Genomic DNA, 17,361 nt, shown 5'->3' with positions numbered 1-17,361 from the left:
GTAAGTCTGAGAGTGTAGCTTCTCCTTGTCCCAGTTAAGCTCTGGATACATATGCAGTCATTTCCCTTTATAACTCTCTGTGGACAGAGCTTGCAGTGTAAGATCTGAAATGATACAAGTGGCTCCCAGTAAAATGAAGCCAAGAAAGCTATGGCCTAAAATATAAACTCTTTTAAAAAGCTTGTTTCCTTACTGAGCTTGCCAATTTCCATAATTAGTCAGAGGCAATTAAGTACCTTAATTAGTTTGATCTTTATGGAATTTCCAGCATATTTTTGTTTTGTAATCAGAACTACAGTTGAATATATGACTAATATCCCTTATAAAGGCTTACATTAGCATACATCAAAATGGTTTACTTCCGTTTCAGCATAGAGATATTTTATCGACATAATTTTAACATGCATTTCATAAAAACACAATGTTTATGCATTATTACTTACTTATTTGAAATATCACATCTTCAGTTTGCAGGCATCATGGGGTTAAGCAGAACATAATGGCCTTTCTTCATTTTTTGGTTTAGACACAATCACAAAATAAACATTTAAGATACATTTGTAAATAGTTAATATGTCTTAACCACTTTATATAAATAATACTTAAACTTTAAAAATGATCATGAATATAAAAGCTTATGCAATCTAGCAAGGCACCAATTTAAGAGAAAACTGCCAGTCTATGTCTGTAAGATTTAGCATTCCAATGATAGTACAAATTAAGGGTTGATTTGATTAGTGAATCGCTGTCTTCCAAATTTCAATTTACATAAGCACTTGAGAGAACCCAAACTATTTAGAAACTAGCCTGAGTTCTCTTGTTTTCTTTTGCGTGTCTCTGCTTACATTGTGCCATATATCTGTAGGATCAGATTTTTTTCTTATTTGCAACTAAATTCATTCTTGAAATCATGACTCCCTTAGATTTCACATCACATTCTTACCTCCACCTCAGAGGTATTTTCTCTGAGAAACGTGATTGACTTTCTTTATTTTTTTAATACCACTTGAAAAAAATTTCGGTGGGTACTTTGTACTCTCTTTTCTAATTCTCATTTTTCAATCTTATTGTCTTCCTTTTTGTCATTTTCAGTTGATAAATAAACTGAGAAACTCTATCTTGACCCCAAGCTGAGTGCTTTCTTGAGATTTCCAAGGTCTGAGGATTCTTTTGAGTGGAATGCATCATGGAGTTTTCGGGGACTGGGCTCTGAGGCAACCTGGCTCCTCTACAACCAAATTCTTTTGAGACCTTGGGACAGCTTCTGCTCTTCTTAGTTTTCATAGGACCAAAGAAGTGGTAAATACCTGAAGGTAATAGAAACTAGAAAACAAGCTATGGATTTAGTTTCATTAGCATTATTATTAGCCGGGTAAGTGGGAATCCTGTTCCAGAGTTCCACTGAGCATACTGAGCCATTGAGTCCTGATGATGTTAAAGTGATGGACAGTTAGATAGATTTGATTATACTAAGAATGGCACTAGGAAGAAAAAGAGTAAGAGTCTTCATTTTATGTATCAATTCCATGGACTTATTCCCTCTTCTGACACTTAGGAAAGATCATTTTAAAACCTCTTTTTATGTTTTTTATTTCTTTTTATGCTTAATTCTTTTTATTAAAGTAAGAAATGGCTGCATATATTGAAATGTTTATTCTTAAAACTTTTGAAGCCCAATAATTTTATTCAACACTTGTTCTATATGTAAGCAAGGTTTGAGCATATCTAAACTGACAGATGAGCTAGCTACAAAATTTATAGCTATTTATTTTAGCCGTAAGAAGTAAGCAGAAATGTGGAAACAATGGTAAGAAACCCTTAGTATACTTTATTATTGTGTTAGCTTTTATCATGCCGTTGAAAATAGTTACGGTCAACTTTTTGTTATTGTTTGTGGCATAAAACTAGATTAAATGATGCTGGTCATTTGTTTAGGTTTATATAAAACCTGCACATTTATCTTAGTATCTGCTTCCAAAATTGGAAAGTTCAAGTTTTTGTATTTTAGGGCAAGAGAACCTTCATTTATTCCTCTTATTGGTCATTTGAGTTTATATTCATTGCTGTGCTTCCAACTAGTAGCTATATATGTGGGGCCAGAGCTTCTCCATCAAGCTGGGTGCTCAAATACAGGATTTACCCATTTGTTAAATTATGATTCATCTGACATTATTTAGAACATGGTAATAATGAACAAGACAGGGAAGATCCCTATTCATGGACATTACTTACATTCTATTAAACAAACAAATAAGAAAATAGCAGAATAGTGATAAGTAAAATGCAGATATAGGATTATTCATTAGAAGCGTGTTTCATGTTATGTGTTTGGGGAAATATTATCCATTCTTATTTTAGAAAGTCACATGAAGATATTGCTATATTTATTCTCCAGCCAACCACACAGCAGAGGAAATTAGGCTCAGTGATGTTAAATCTTTCATATTAAGTGGCTCCTAAACATATGTGCAAGTTGCCTAGTGGCAACAAAAACAATATAGTAATAAGAACATCAGGTAATGTAGACTCCTAATTATATTTAAATAGGCCTATGTATTGTGATAATAATGTAATAATGGTAAAATAACATAGTAATAATGGTATAGTAAAAGTATAGAAATATGGTATAATATTCGGTGGTTATAAAAATTAATATCATTTTCCTTGTTCCAATAGAATCAAGTAAACACTGTAATGTATGTTATTTTAATATTGCTAGATTTACTTTAAGGAATCATATTTTTGTATCCAGGAAACAGCATAGAAACCTAATATACAGTCTGTCAAATTTTTTCTCAATTTATAAAATGAAACACATATTCCATAAACAGCCAAAATGAATTTTAAAAATAGGCTTTGTCAATATATACGTGTGAATGCATGAAAAGTAATTAGAAAGTACAGTCATTTCAGCACAATTTTATTGTAGGCTTATGTCATTTTATTGTGCTTCACTGTATTATGCATTAGGTTTGTAGCAACCCTGCATTGAGTAAGTCTGTCATCACCAGTTTTCCAACAGCATGTGCCCACTTCATGTTTTTGTGTCACATTTTGGTAATTCTTGCAGTGTTTCAAACTTTCCTTTTTGTTACATATGTTGTAGTGATCTGTGATTAGTAATCTTTGCTGTTACTGTTGTAACTGTTTCAGGGCACCACAAACCTCACCCATGTAAGATGGCAAGTTGAATTGACAAATGTGTGGTTCTGACTACTCCACTGACTGGCAGGTTCCGGATCTCTTTTCCTCTCCTCAGGCCTCCTTATTTGCTGAGACACAACAATATTGAAATTAGGCCAACTAATGACCCTACAATGGCCTCTAAGTGTCCAAGAGAAAGAACGAGTTATGAGTCTCTCACTTTAAGTGAAAATCTAGAAATGATTAATTTTAGTGAGGAAAGCATGTAAAAAATTGAGATAGTTCATAAGCTAGGCCTCTTGTACCAGTTAGTGAAGTTGTAAATTCAAAGGATAAGTTCTTGAAGGAAATTAAAAGTGCTACTCTGGTGAACACACAAATGCTAACAAACTAAAGCAGTCTTATTGCTGATATGGAGAAAGTTTGGGAGTTCTGGATAGATCAAACCAGCCCCAACATTCTCTTAAGCCAAATCCTAATCCACAGCAAAGCCCTAACTCTCTTCAATTCTGTGAAGCCCGAAAGAGGTGAGGAAGTTTCAGAAGAAAAGTTGGAAGCTAGCAAAAGTTAGTTCATTCCTGACAGCTTCAGGAAATAAGCTGTTTTCGTAACATAAAAGTGTAAGGTAAAGCAGCAAGTATTGACATAGAAGTTACAGCAATTTATCCAGAAGATTTAGCTAAAATAATTGATGAAGGTGGCTTCACTAAACAACTGATTTTCAAGATAGATGAAACAGCCTTGTTTTGGAAGAAGATGCCGTGTAGGACTTTGATAGCTAGAGAGAAGTCAATGCTGGCTTCAAAGCATCAAAGGACAGGCTCACTCTCTTGTTAGGAGCGAATGTAGCTGATGACTTTAAGTTGAAGCCAATGCTCGTTGCCCATTCCAAAAATCCTAGGGCCCTTAAGAATGATGCTAAATCTGTTCTACTTGTTCTCTGTAAAGGGAACAACAGAGTCTGGATGACAGCACTTCTCTTCATAGCAGAAGTGTCCAATCTTTTGGTTTCCCTAGGCCACACTGGATAAAGAAGAATGGTCTTGGGCCACACATAACAAACACGAACACTACCAACAGCTGATAGGCTAAAAAAAAAATTGCAAAAAAATCTCATAATGTTTTAAGAAAGTTTATGAATTTGTGTTGGCCATATTCAAAGCTGTCCTGGGCTGCATGCAGCCTGTGGGCTGCAGGTTGAACAAGCTTGGTTTATAGCATGGTTTACTAAATATTTTAAACCCATTGTTGAGACCTACTTCTCAGATAAAATTTTTTTTTTCAAAATATTACTGCTCATTGAAAATGCACATGGTCATCTAAGAGCTCTGAAGGAGATGTATAAAGAGATTAATGTTATTTTCATGCCTGCTAACACAACATTTATTTTGCAGACCATGAATCAAAGAGGAATTTTGACTTTCAAGTCTTATTATTTAAGAAGTACATTTTGTAAGGCTCTAGCTATCATAAATAATGATTCTGCCGATGGCTCTGGGAAAAGTAAATTGAAAACCTGGAAGGGAGTCACCATTCTAGATGCCATTAAGAACATTTGTGATGCATGAGAACAGATCAAAATATCAACATGAACAGGAATTTGGAAGAACTTGATTCCAATGCTCATGGATGACTTTGAGGGGTTCAAGACATAAGTGGAGAGAGTAACTACAGGTGTGGTAGAAATAGCAAGAGAACTAGAATTAGAAGTGAAACTTGAAGATGGAACTGAATTGCTACAATCTCATGATAAAACTTAACAGACGAGGAGTTGCTTTTTATGGATAAGCAAAGAAAGTGGTTTCTTGAGATAGAATCTTCTAGTGAAGTTGCTGTGAACACTGCTGAAGTGACAACAAAGGACTTAGAATATTTAATAAACTTTGCTGATAAAGCAGTGACAGGGTTTGAGAGGATTGACTTCAATTTCAAAAGTTCTACTGTGGGTAAAATGCTATCAAACAGCATCATGTGCTGCAAAAAAATCTTTCATGAAAGGAAGAGTTAATTAATAGGGCAGACTTTATGGTTTTCTTAAGAAAATTGTTACAGCTACCCCAACCTTCAGCATCCATCACCGTGATTAGTCAGCAGCCATCAACATAGAGGCAAGACCCCCTAGTAGCTAAAGGATTACAACTGGCCGAACGCTCAGATGATTGTTAGCATTTTTTTAGCAACAGAGTATTTTTAAATTAAGCTATATACTTTGTTAGACATAATGCTATTACACATTTAATAAAGTACAGTATAGTGTAAACATAACTTTTATAAGGACTGGGAAAACAAAAAATTTATATGACTTGCTTTATTGCTGTATTAATTTTATTGTGGTGATCTATAACAAAATCTGTAATATCTCCAAGGTACGCCTGTATTTGGTTCTGTGATTCAGTAGAAAAATGCTTGCTGGTTCTTAAAAGTATGTATATGTCCCCTAGCTAGTAAGAAATAGTAATGTGAAAAGTAATTAGCATATTTGAGCACATGGTATTTGATATTTTCTTTTTTCAAATATCAAGTTAATCTCATTTTTATAATAAAACAAAAAATGAATACCCAGGAAAAGGCACACAGGGAATGTGGAAGCCAGGATTTAACTTCCTGCCCTCTGACAACAAGTACCTTGTAAGCTGTTCCCACTCTTTGTGACATAAAGCTGCCAACCCCATCTTCCTGTCATATCTGATGTTTCTATATGTGAATAAAAGAAATGTCACATGTACCCAACTCTAAGGGAACATTTTAGGGCAAAGGCTTGTCTTGGTAAATTAAACTTGTGTGTTATCTTCTAGGGCCTTAATAACAATGGTTCTAGTTGCTTCATGGACTAAAAGATCTATACATGTAGGTAAATATCAAAGCTGACTATTCTTTGATTTTATATTCTATTATTCCAGTTGATACAGTTTTTAAATTTGGAGATGTTTAAAGGACAAAGTTTAATCATTATAAGAGAGAAGGTCAAAGGAAAGGGAATCGATTTTTCAAAAGTGGGGAAGCCCGGGCACAATGGCTAATGCCTGTAATCATAACACTTTTGGAGCCTGAGGCAGAAGGATTGTTTGAGGCCAGCAGTTCCAGACAATCCTGAGCAACATAGCAAGACCCCATCTCTACAGAAAAAATTTAAAAAATTAGCTGGCATGTAGTATGCATCTCTGGTCTCAGCTACCCAGGAGGATGAGGTAGGAGGATCACTTGAGCCTGGGAGGTCAAGCCTGCAGTGAACTGCGATAGCACCACTGCACTCTAGCCTCGATGACAGAGCAAGACCCAGTCTTCAAAAATAAAAACAAAAATGAAAAAATAAAAGCAGGGCATTGTGAAACTCACTAATCTACTCAAGTGTTTGTTGTGCTGATTTTAAACTTTTTTTGACCATTTTGTTAAGAATATTTTTGTGCAGTACTTTTTCAAGATTTCACATTTTCCCTATCTTTTTTTTCATCAACATTTACTGGTAAACTTGAGGACTGGTATTCATCCAATGAAGTGTATATTCAGGAAGAAAAGAATTATGCAGAAAGAAAGGTATTAAGGGACACAGATTTTCCTTTCTTTCTTATACTACATGTAGAAAATAAACTAGATTAAGTAAATGGCATTTCATACCTGGAAGATCATTGAGAAGCTATAGGTAATAAGAGAGTCCACACTGTGCACCATTTATTTTTTGTTTATGGTTCGAATGGGTTTAAATGATTTTTACTCTTTTAGTTATTTTGAAATGTACAATTAATTATTGTTGATGGTAGTTACCCTTTTGTGCTATCAAATACTAGATTTTATTCATTCTATTAAACTATATTTTTGTATCCATTAACCATCCTCACACTCACAGCTTCCATTACCCTTCCCAGTCTCTGATAACCATCATTCTTCTCTCTATCTCCATGAGTTCATTTGTTTTAATTTTTTTAGCTTCCACAAATAAGTGAAAACATGAGATTTGTCTTTTGGTGCCTGGCTTATTTCACTTAACATAGTGACCTCCAGGTTCATCCATGTGGTTGCAAATGACAGGATCTAATTCATCTTTATAGTCGAATAGTACTCCATTGTGTATATGTACCACATTTTCTTTATTCATTCTTCTGTTGATAGAAATCTAGGTTGCTTCCAAATGTTGATTATTGTGAATAATGTTGCAGTAAACATGGGTGTGCAGATAGATACCTCTTTGAATACTGATTTTATTTCTTTTGGGTGTATACCTTGTGTGGGAGTGCTGGATCATATGGTAGTTCTATTTTTAGTTTTATGATGGGCCTTCAAACTGTTCTACATAGTGGCATTACTAATTTACATTCCCACCAGCAGTGCACAAGGGTTTCCTTTTCTTCACATCTTTGCCAGCATTATTGTCTGTCTTTCAGATAAAGTCATTTGAACTGGAGTGAGATGTTATCTCATTGTAGTTTCGCTTTGCATTTCTCTGTTGATCAGTGATGTTGAGCACCTTTTCATCTACCTGTATGCCATTTGTATGTCTTCTTTTGAGAAATATCTATTCAGATCTTTTGCCCATTTTTAATCAGATTATTGGATTTTTTCCTATTTTTGATCACCTTATATATTCTTATTATTAATCCCTTCTCAGGTGGACACTTAGCAAATATTTTCTCCCATCCTGTGGGATGTCTGTTCACTTTGTTGATTGTTTTCTTTGCTGTGCAGGAACCTTCTAACTTGATGTGACCCCATTTGTCCATTTTTGCATGGGTTTTCTGCCATTGTAGGGTATTACTCTAGAAATCTTTGCCCATTCCTATGTCCTGGAGAGTTTCCCCAATGTTTTCTTGGAATAATTTCATAGATTGAGGTCTTAGATTTAAGTCTTTAATCCATTTTGATTTGATTTTTGTACATGGTGAGAAATAGGGGCCTGGTTTCCTTCTTCTACTATTTAAAAAAAAACCTCCACATTGTAGATAAAATTTATATTTCTTGAAATAATTTCTGATCTTGTGAATCCTGTTATTTCTAATGGAATATGTATTTTTGCATAAACATAGATTTCTCTTCATAACAAACCTACAATGGACTGTATTTATATCTCTCCTACCCCCCATATTACATTATTACTAAAAAGTGTACATATTGTATTACTTAGAAATTAAAAGAATAGACAGTCTCATTGAACTTCAGTGAGCTTATAGTTTATAGTTAGGAATGATGGAGGTACTTGTGTTTTCTTCTTGAATGTGGCTAAGCTAAGATGGGGAAAACGCTGCCTGTTATTGTAAGACCTTTTCCTTGGCCATCTGCTTGCCCACATTCTAAATGAGTCAGAAATGGAAGAAAGACAGTAATTAGGATGCTGTGTAATTAATCCTAATCTTCTTGCATAAAGCCGGAATACATAATGCAACGAGGACTCTGAAAACAGCAGTTTTTTCTGATTTTCCACTTAATTTCTGATATATTTCAAAAGAAATCATTTTCAGTTTAATAGAGTTCAGTATGTGCTTTCATAAAATGTAAAGGTTTTTAATGGTACTAAGAAATTATTAAGTGCATATTGTAAGCCTAGTATTCCATCAGGGACTTATTTATGTTTGATTTATTGGCTTTATATTCTTTATTGGAAAATCTAGCCCACTTAAAGGAATTCTTTTAATGCTGAGTGTTATATGTATATCTCTTCTGCCTTGCATGTTTTTCTTCGACCATTTACTGCACAAGTATTGATTTCAGAATATCTTTCAGATTCTTTCTCAGCAATTTGAGTTTGTGCATCTGTGCCAAGAAGGGATTATATTTGTTTCCATGCACATGCTTTATGGGACTCTGTTCCTTTTTTCAATAATTGTTTTACTAGAGTCAATAGAAGGCTGGTGAATAGTTTTTCATACGGTAATAGAATTTTTTGAAGCAGGGAGAATGTAATCATGAAATTTAAGAATAAGCAAACAAGGGCCAGAAGATTTAGGCTGTATATTTCCCGTAACCACTCTGAACCTTGAAATTCGGTAATATTTTTTTTGCATTGAGTGAGGTAGGAGCTGAAAATATAAAACATACAATAAAAATATAGACTGTGGCTCTAGGCAGAAGGCGTGTAAATATGCCTGTGTGTATGTATGGTAATATGCATTGAATTAGGAGTCAGAAGACTAGGTTTTGACACTCGCCAGCTGTAGGAAGTTATTAAACCTCTATCTGCCTCAGCTTTCTGATTTGTATTACCTGCCTTGCCTGTCTCATTTGTAAGTATGCATTGAGATTAACTATGTTAAAGGACTGAAACTTTTAGAGTTGTTCAGTTGTGAAATAGTAAAAGTCTCTGTGGTTATAGCCAGTTCACTGATGATTGTAGTATTATTCTAGTGAAACTGAGACCAGGGTCCCACGGTTTTAAAAAATATTCTTATATGAGTATGTGTATGTGTATAATTTTTCTTTATGATATGGGGCAGGTAGTGAAAATTGAAGTATGCTATTCCATACAAATAGATGCCCATGAGGAGGCTCACATTTATGAGAAGGGTTGATGTTGACAATCCTTTGAAAGAGAAACTCAGTAAGCATTGTTAATATATTTAACTTCACTGTAGATACTTTTAGAACAACAGTTTGAAATTTTAGAACAGAACAGTGAACGACAGATATTTGCTTGTGATTTTCTTAAATGTTACAATGATGGTAAGCTTCTTTCCTCATATTTTATCTACATTTTCTGGATATGTCCTGTGACTGATTAGTTTTCATTTACAGGACTGTTATTAGCCCTAGTGTGTTTTTCTGATAATATAAGAAACACCCCAGGAGGAAGATTATATCTGCTGTTTTACTAGGGATTGGAAATGACACTGTTACTCCAGAAATGCATTCACTGTTGTTCTTTGAGTCTGGACATACAAATTATAGTTAACTGTTTACCAAACTTGAGAAAAAGAACGAGTGTATAGCCTCCAAACCACTGTGGTTGTAACCAGTAGATTCAGGCAATGTATAAAATTCATACACTCTCATAACAGTGTTTCTCCTTTATTGGGTAGACACTAACTTAACGTTCTCAGCATCTTTAGAAAGTTTACTAAGTAGCTCACAGAACGGGTGTGAGAGGCCAAGTGTGCACAAGTGATTCAGTGATTCAGGTGATTAAAATTGTGTATTGTTAATTAATTTTTTTCAGGTAGAAAGTTGTTTTAGCAATGATTTTTTAAAGAAATCACTTTTTAGGAAATTAATTTATCAGAAAAATAGAATAATAATTTTATTTCATCTAAAGAGAGTCTGAGGTTTTAGATGTCATCATCTAATAATGTTAAATTTTGAAAAAGAAAATTCAAGTTATTAAAAATCTTCCAATGACTGCAACACTTCAGTAGTAATATTAATGTTTGAGAAAAAGCCCTACTTCTAGGAAATTAGAATCTCCTGGGGCTTTTTATGACCTAAACTCTCAGTTATTCTTTGCTGGAATTCTTACTGACTTCATGTATTGTTCATTTGTCTATAGCATGTGGTGCAATAGCAGTCCCTCAGCAGGTTACAGTTCTCTCTTTGCCATACAGAAAATAGTAGTTCTATTACATAGATTATCGGCACAGTGGTTTTTCCACCATTATACCATGAGTTCTCTGCCATTTTGCCAATTTCAAGTTGATTTTAATTAATTTAATGGTAGGTTGCCTTTTAATAATGCTTTTATAATATGACATATAAAACTCCACATGAGCTTGCAACACATTAGGTTAAATGACATAAACCAGGCACAGAAGGATAAACACTGCCTGTTCTCACTCATATGGGAAAGCTTAAAAGTTGATCTCATAGAAATAGAGAGTAGAATAGTGGTTACTTGAGGAGGGGAAGGAAAGGGGAAGAAGGAGATAGCCAAAGGCTGGTTAATGGATTTAAATGTACAGCTAGATAGGAGGAATAAGTTCTAGTGTTCCCTAGCACGATAGGGTGACTATAATTAGCAGCAATGTATTATATATTTTAAAATAGCTAGAAAAGCAGATTTTGAATGTTCTCAACACAAAGAAATGGTAAATGTTTGAGGTGATAGATAGCTGAATACCCTGTTTGATCATTACACGTTGTATACATGTATGAAAATGTAACATTGTACTCCATGAATGTATATAATTATTATGTATCAATTAAAATAATAATAAAAGCAAAGAAGAAATCATAGAGTGTTCCAGTCTTTAAATTTAATAATGAATATAATATCAGTAATAAATAAAGCTCCTAAGTTTCCTTTCTTATGTCTCGAAAGCACTCAATGTTGAGTGCAGTCTGCTTAGGAACCAGCACTGTACTGCATATTTATATTATGAAAGTCCCTTATATTTTATACCATTTAGCAAACAGGTTTAGCAACTGACAAATGTGATTTATTTATCTTCACAATGTAGTCTTGACTATACATAGATTCACAATATTGAAGAAATTCTTCTGGGCATATACTACTTTTTTGATTGAGATTAATGCTGTTTTCTGTTAAATCAGAGAATAAATTACCAAATGCCTGTGCCCTATATTTCATCAAACCCATAATATTCCACTCATTCTTTTTTCAAGTTATTCCTTTCTTCACCCCTAACCACATCTTATTACTTAGCCCCTGCATTTTTAATTCTTTATTTTATCTTTTTTTACCTATTATACATCTACTTATATTACATATATGTAGATAGTTACAGTTCTATCTGCTTTTAGTGTAAGCTACCTGCATTTTTTTAAGCAGCAGAGTAATAATTTAAAAGAAACATTCTTCACATTCCTTCTTGTCTAAGGAGCACCCTCAGATGTGTTCTAAGCAAATCCTGGTCTGATTAGAATGTTGGTAAATTTTCTTCAGGATATTAATCTTTTTTCCCTCCGGATTCTTTTACTGTATACATTATGACTATAATCTTTAAGTATCCAACTTTATGTAATACATTTTTCATAAATGTTCTTTTTGCCATGTTTTCTTTTGAGGCAAAAGAAATTTGATCATGGAGGTGAGAAAGCTTTAAATGATTTATATTATACAGGTTGTTCCCTAATGCTTCTTTCTCTCTCTTTGGGCTTTTAGAGTAAATATTTAAATAGTTATTGTGATATTAATAAAACTAGGAGGCTCAAATATTATTTCCCTTGTGGTCAATGATTCAAAACATTGATTTTATGCTACCCTAGTGAGTTTCTAATAATTTCAATGTAGTACAATATTGAGGCCTCATGGGAAAATTTAATTCATGATAATTTAAAATGTAAATGTATGCCACATGGTGTGCACCACATATCCTCTTTCTCTGTGTATGTCTTTGTGTGTGTGTGTATCTTGCATGCATACTTTTTCTTTTAGAAAAGGGCTCTAAGAATGCTCATGAAGAAAAGCTGATTGCCTTCATCACTTTATACTTATACAGATTTTGGATTTTTATACTGATTTCTCAGAGGTAAAAGTAAACCTATGAAATACAATCAAACACACAATCAGAGTTTTCTCTTGCCTTCTGAGCAATTAGAACTATTCATATAACCTGATTATAAGACACAAACACTGTGTTCTTATATACTATGATCACATACCTCAAGCCTCATATTTCTGTTTTAAGAATCTTTCTAAGCACAAGGAGAATAAGGTTGAAAATTACCTTTTAGGTACTGTTGTTCACTGTTGGGGTAATGGGTACACTAAAAGCCTAGGCTTTACTACTATGCAGTATTCTTATAACAAAACTGCCGATGATCCTCCTAAATCTATAAAAATTAAAAAATTTAAAAAAGAATCTTTTCAAGTATGGGGAAAACATACAGATGATGTATACCTTAGGTAAACTGGGAGCTAGGGAGATGATAGGAACCCTCAGACCTCATTATTTTGACATTCTAGGAGATGTGTCGATTTGTAGGATTATCTTTTCTAGGGCTAACCTTTTGGTCACATTCTCTACCTCTCTAAGTCCACTTCCAGTGCTATCAATTTCTTCTGGAAATGACTGCCACAGGCTTTATTTCTTAAGGGTATTGGCCTAAACTATTGTATTGTGGGCTCCTATTCTGGCTACAGCCATCTTTCAAACAACTGTGTTTTTGGATTTTATGTTACTGCCAGTTGTTCTGGACTTTTGCCCCTTCTGTGGTGATCTAGGGTCACTGCAGAAGAAATTAATTCTGCTCTTAAATTGGCCTTTATCTTTTTGCCAATCTACCTGTTGTTTCCTGTACATCTAGATTCCCTGGTTTGAAGGTTGCCTTGATTTCCCAACATAATTGTTGGATTTCCTTAGGGGAGAAAAAATAATACTAACAAGACTAACGAGAGAGAGACCTTATATTCTTTTATAAGAAAAGATTTTTAATATTGGGTTTTTTTCTTCCAAATGGCAATTCATAATATGTGCCAAAATATACTGACATAGTTTCAGCAGTTTCAACTGTTACTTGAATGTATGCATATGTATAGACAAAACAGCTTATGAATGTATTTCATCAGCAATATAGATGTGCTATTACAAATCATTTTTATATCTACATATCTTTTGTGAAACCGGATTAACGTGGGTGCTTTTAAAATCTAATATAGGAAGTTAAATAACCAAATACCACCATGAACAACAAACAAAAGGAGACAATAAAAGAAGAGAACCACTGGATCTGATAGAAATGTAGAAATACTGGTGTGCCAGTGTAGTCTGTGACATTTCTTCATGAATGAATTTTGTTATGTGTTGAATTGTGTCTCCCCAAAACATGAAGTCCTAATTGTCAGTACCTGTGAATGTGACATTATTGGAAAGGTCTTTGCAGATGACCAAATGAAGATGAGGTCATTAAGGTTGGCTCTAATTTAGTATGACTGTGTTCTTATAAAGCAGGGTACTCTGGACACAGAGAGAGAGTCACAGGGCAAATGCTATGGGAAGATTGGAGTTACGATACTGCAAGCCAAGGAACACCAAAGATTGTCATTGTCAGGAAACCACCAGCAAGAGAGAGGCGTGGGACATGTTCTCCCTCAGAACGCTGAATGTAACCAAACCTAGTTTCAGAAGAAACCAACCCTGAATGTAACCCAAACTCAAGTTTGGTTGTTCACTGCTCAAAAACCAAATGTGAGAGATGAGATTTGGTGGGAAGAGAAGCAGGTTTTTCAGAATCAGCCAACTGAGAAAATTTTGGATTAACGTCCTGAAGTACCATCTTAAGTCAGTACAAATTTCAGGCTATTTTTAAGTGAAGGGAAGGAGAAAGAGTTGGGAATTGGGATCAAGAGGTAACTAATGACTGCACTGCAGGCATCTGGGCTCCAGGGAGGGTCCAAGGAGGTTGGGAATGTCTTTTTCTTTGGTCAGGTCACAATGCTCCTATAAATCTTTAACAAAATATATAGTTGTATACATACTTCTCCTTTAATCTCAGCGTTACTTTTAAAAACTACATGATTGCTGTTTTTGCAAATTACCTCACTGTTCTAAAATTATCCTTGCCTATGTGTAGGAATCGGGTAAGGGCCCCTTAACAAAAATGGAGTTAGTTATAATATTCATAACTCTTTTGCTGTTTCACTATTACATGAAGACACCTTGTTTTTGGGCCTCCAGACTGAGACAAAAATTTTTGTTGTTTAAGGCACCCGGTTTGTAGTACTTTCTTATGGTACTCCTTGCAAACTGATACCAATTTAATTTGGTAACAGATGATCTAATATGCATTTCAAAAGCCATAGCATCTTTCCATTTAGTGTCAGTTTTAAAGGCCAGATTATTTACTCATGACAAATTATTTCCTACAGAAAGAATGTAGGGAAGGGATAGAGTATATTATACAGCTTTGCTTGAAAAGTATACAAGTAGAGCTTTAAGATTATCTTTAGATCTGTTTTTCAAATTAGGGAAGTCCTTGTTAAGTAAAATCTATATAGCAATATGGAAGGTGCTTCAAAGGCAGGGGTAAAAAAGCAAAATCAATTTAGCATAGGTCAATAAATGTGTATATTTGCCCCCAAAAAATATAAACTGGTTTAGCAGCAAGACACCTTTCTTCATTAATGATGTGCTGGTTTAAAATGCACTGACCTACTCTCAACTTATAAGACTGGCTCACATCCAAACCTCCTGTTTATAGATGCTGCTAGATGGTTTGCTTAGCAACGTACATAATGGGACCACGGGGAATTTGGTTTTCCAGCTAAATGAGTTTAGAATGCTCAAATAAAAGCAAAGGTTCAGGTCTGTAGAAAAAAAAAACAGAACTTAAAGCCCACAAGTAAAAAACAATCACAAATAATTGGATTATTTTTGCAAATCATTTTTTCAAATTGTTAAATTCATATTTATAAGTGATTTTAACACTCAAAATTAAGTCCATTTTTACAGACAACATATCCAGCAGAAAATCAAGTTTCGAATTTTGCCACAAAGCTACATACTTCCAGTGTTCTATAGACCTTAATGAAATTTATTAAGACTGAAAACTTCCTATGCAAAAATTTTACTGTTTGAATAAAGTAAGTAGAAATCTCTAAGTTTCTTTCAAGTGTAAAAACAACACCAACAACAAAACAACACCTAGGTTGGTAGGCAGAGATCTGCAAAATAAAAAAAATAAGCAGAGTAGTTAATGGAAAAGGTATTATTCCGGTTCATGAAAGAATTCATATTGCATATACCCAATAGCTCAGAAGCCAAATCTTAGATGTTAACTTAAATCACTACAGCCATTCTTTCTTTCAACATTATTTTACTGAGGATTCCGAGTAAACACAACAGGCTCTTGTTGTGTTCTTAGGACCAGCTATTTTTGAGGCACATGATGTTAAATCCTTAGAAGGATATTAGAGAGTAAGCCTAATACTTGATTCTCCCTTATATTATATCCCGGTGAAGATAATTTAGTCATTGGGAAGCATGTTCGTCAATACACTAAAGGTAAGGGAAACTGCAACAATCCATTTGTTTTGTGGAGTTTGGGGTAATATGATTTCAGTTGGTAACCTTCTGATATTATTTGGTTTGAAGCTGAGGGGCACCTGAGTTAGGATGTGCATATAATCTTGAGCTTGAAGTATGCTGAAAAATCAGGTAAACCAGCAAGGTTTTGTGCAAAATGGGATGTATGGTCATTTTTCGCAGAGCAGACTGCTTCTTTATGGTGAAAAAGAAATGTTTTGGATTTGTGGTTGATGAGTGGAGTCAGCAGGGAACCCATAAAAACAGTCCAGAACAGAGCATGGTGATAATCAGTTAGTTAGGGTCCAGTCAAAAGTAGCTGAAATTGTATATTCCTGGACATAATCAGAGGAAAGATCTAAAGACAGGCTTTGATGAGAGCAGGTGTGGTTCATGACGTGGTCAGATCAAGTCCCCTCACATGGGAAAATTGTAAAGTGGTAAATAAGAGATCAGACTAAATGGTAGAACATTGCCAAGTGATATGCATCATAACAGCTTCACATGGGCTTGTGATAGTGTTGGGTTTTTCTGTGGTGTAGTGGGTTGAATGGTGACCTGCCCCCCCTCCGAATGATGTGTCCATTTCTCAGAACCTGTGAATTTCATCCTACTTGGAAAAGGAATCTTTGCAGATGCAATTTAAAGGACCTCAAGATGAGATTATCCTGGATTATCCAGGTGGGCTCTAAATCAAATGACAGGTATCTTTATGAAGGAGACACAGAAGAGACACACAGAGAAGAGGTGAAAGCAGTGGATAGGCAAAATAAAGGCAAAGGTTGAAGTGATGCAGCCTCAAACCATGGAATGACTGGAACCACCAGAAATTAGACAAAATAAGGAAGAATTCTTCCCCAGAGACTTTGGAGGAAATGTAGCCCGATGACACCTTGATTTCAGACCTTTGGCCTCCATAACTGTGAGAGAGTAAATTTCTCTTGGAAGCCGCCCAGTTTGTAGTGCTTTGTTTTCGCAGCCCTAGGAAACTAATACAGTATGTGTGGGGCACGAATTAACCAACTCTAATGTTCTGCAGTTGGCACTACCTTAGGGTAATGGAGGCCACTTGTGGGAAGGAAGCTCTGAAATCCCAGGTGCTCCTTGATTGTTAAAGTATATTTGCTTCTCTTTTTATGTAACTTAAGACATTATTTAAAAGGATAGGAGAGAGTATAATATAATAAATAATAAAGTTTACTTTCAAGCAGGCCAGGGTGGGAGGAATCCTAGTTTCTTAGTGAAATAATTATACTTCTGGATAAGAACTTCATAGACAGTTTAAGGACTAGATTTTGATTGTCTAGAATTTAAA

General features: G+C 34.6%; 1 protein-coding gene and 1 long non-coding RNA gene across 26 annotated transcripts in view; both read left to right on the top strand.

Annotated features, from left to right (window-relative positions):
* LOC124901725 (uncharacterized) overlaps positions 1 to 11,293 on the top strand; it is a 71,230-nt gene extending 59,937 nt beyond the window's left edge. The window contains exon 2 of the long non-coding RNA XR_007060477.1: positions 1,093 to 11,293. This is a non-coding gene — a long non-coding RNA (uncharacterized LOC124901725). The remainder of the gene's footprint in view (positions 1 to 1,092) is intronic.
* Positions 1 to 17,361, top strand: part of IMMP2L (inner mitochondrial membrane peptidase subunit 2) — an 899,849-nt gene that overhangs the window by 378,867 nt on the left and 503,621 nt on the right. The window lies entirely within an intron of this gene.

Source organism: Homo sapiens, chromosome 7, assembly GCF_000001405.40.
Source record: "Homo sapiens chromosome 7, GRCh38.p14 Primary Assembly".
Lineage (NCBI taxonomy): Eukaryota > Metazoa > Chordata > Mammalia > Primates > Hominidae > Homo > Homo sapiens.
The sequence above is the reverse complement of the archived record's forward strand: the minus strand, read 5'-3'. Positions and strand labels throughout refer to the sequence as shown.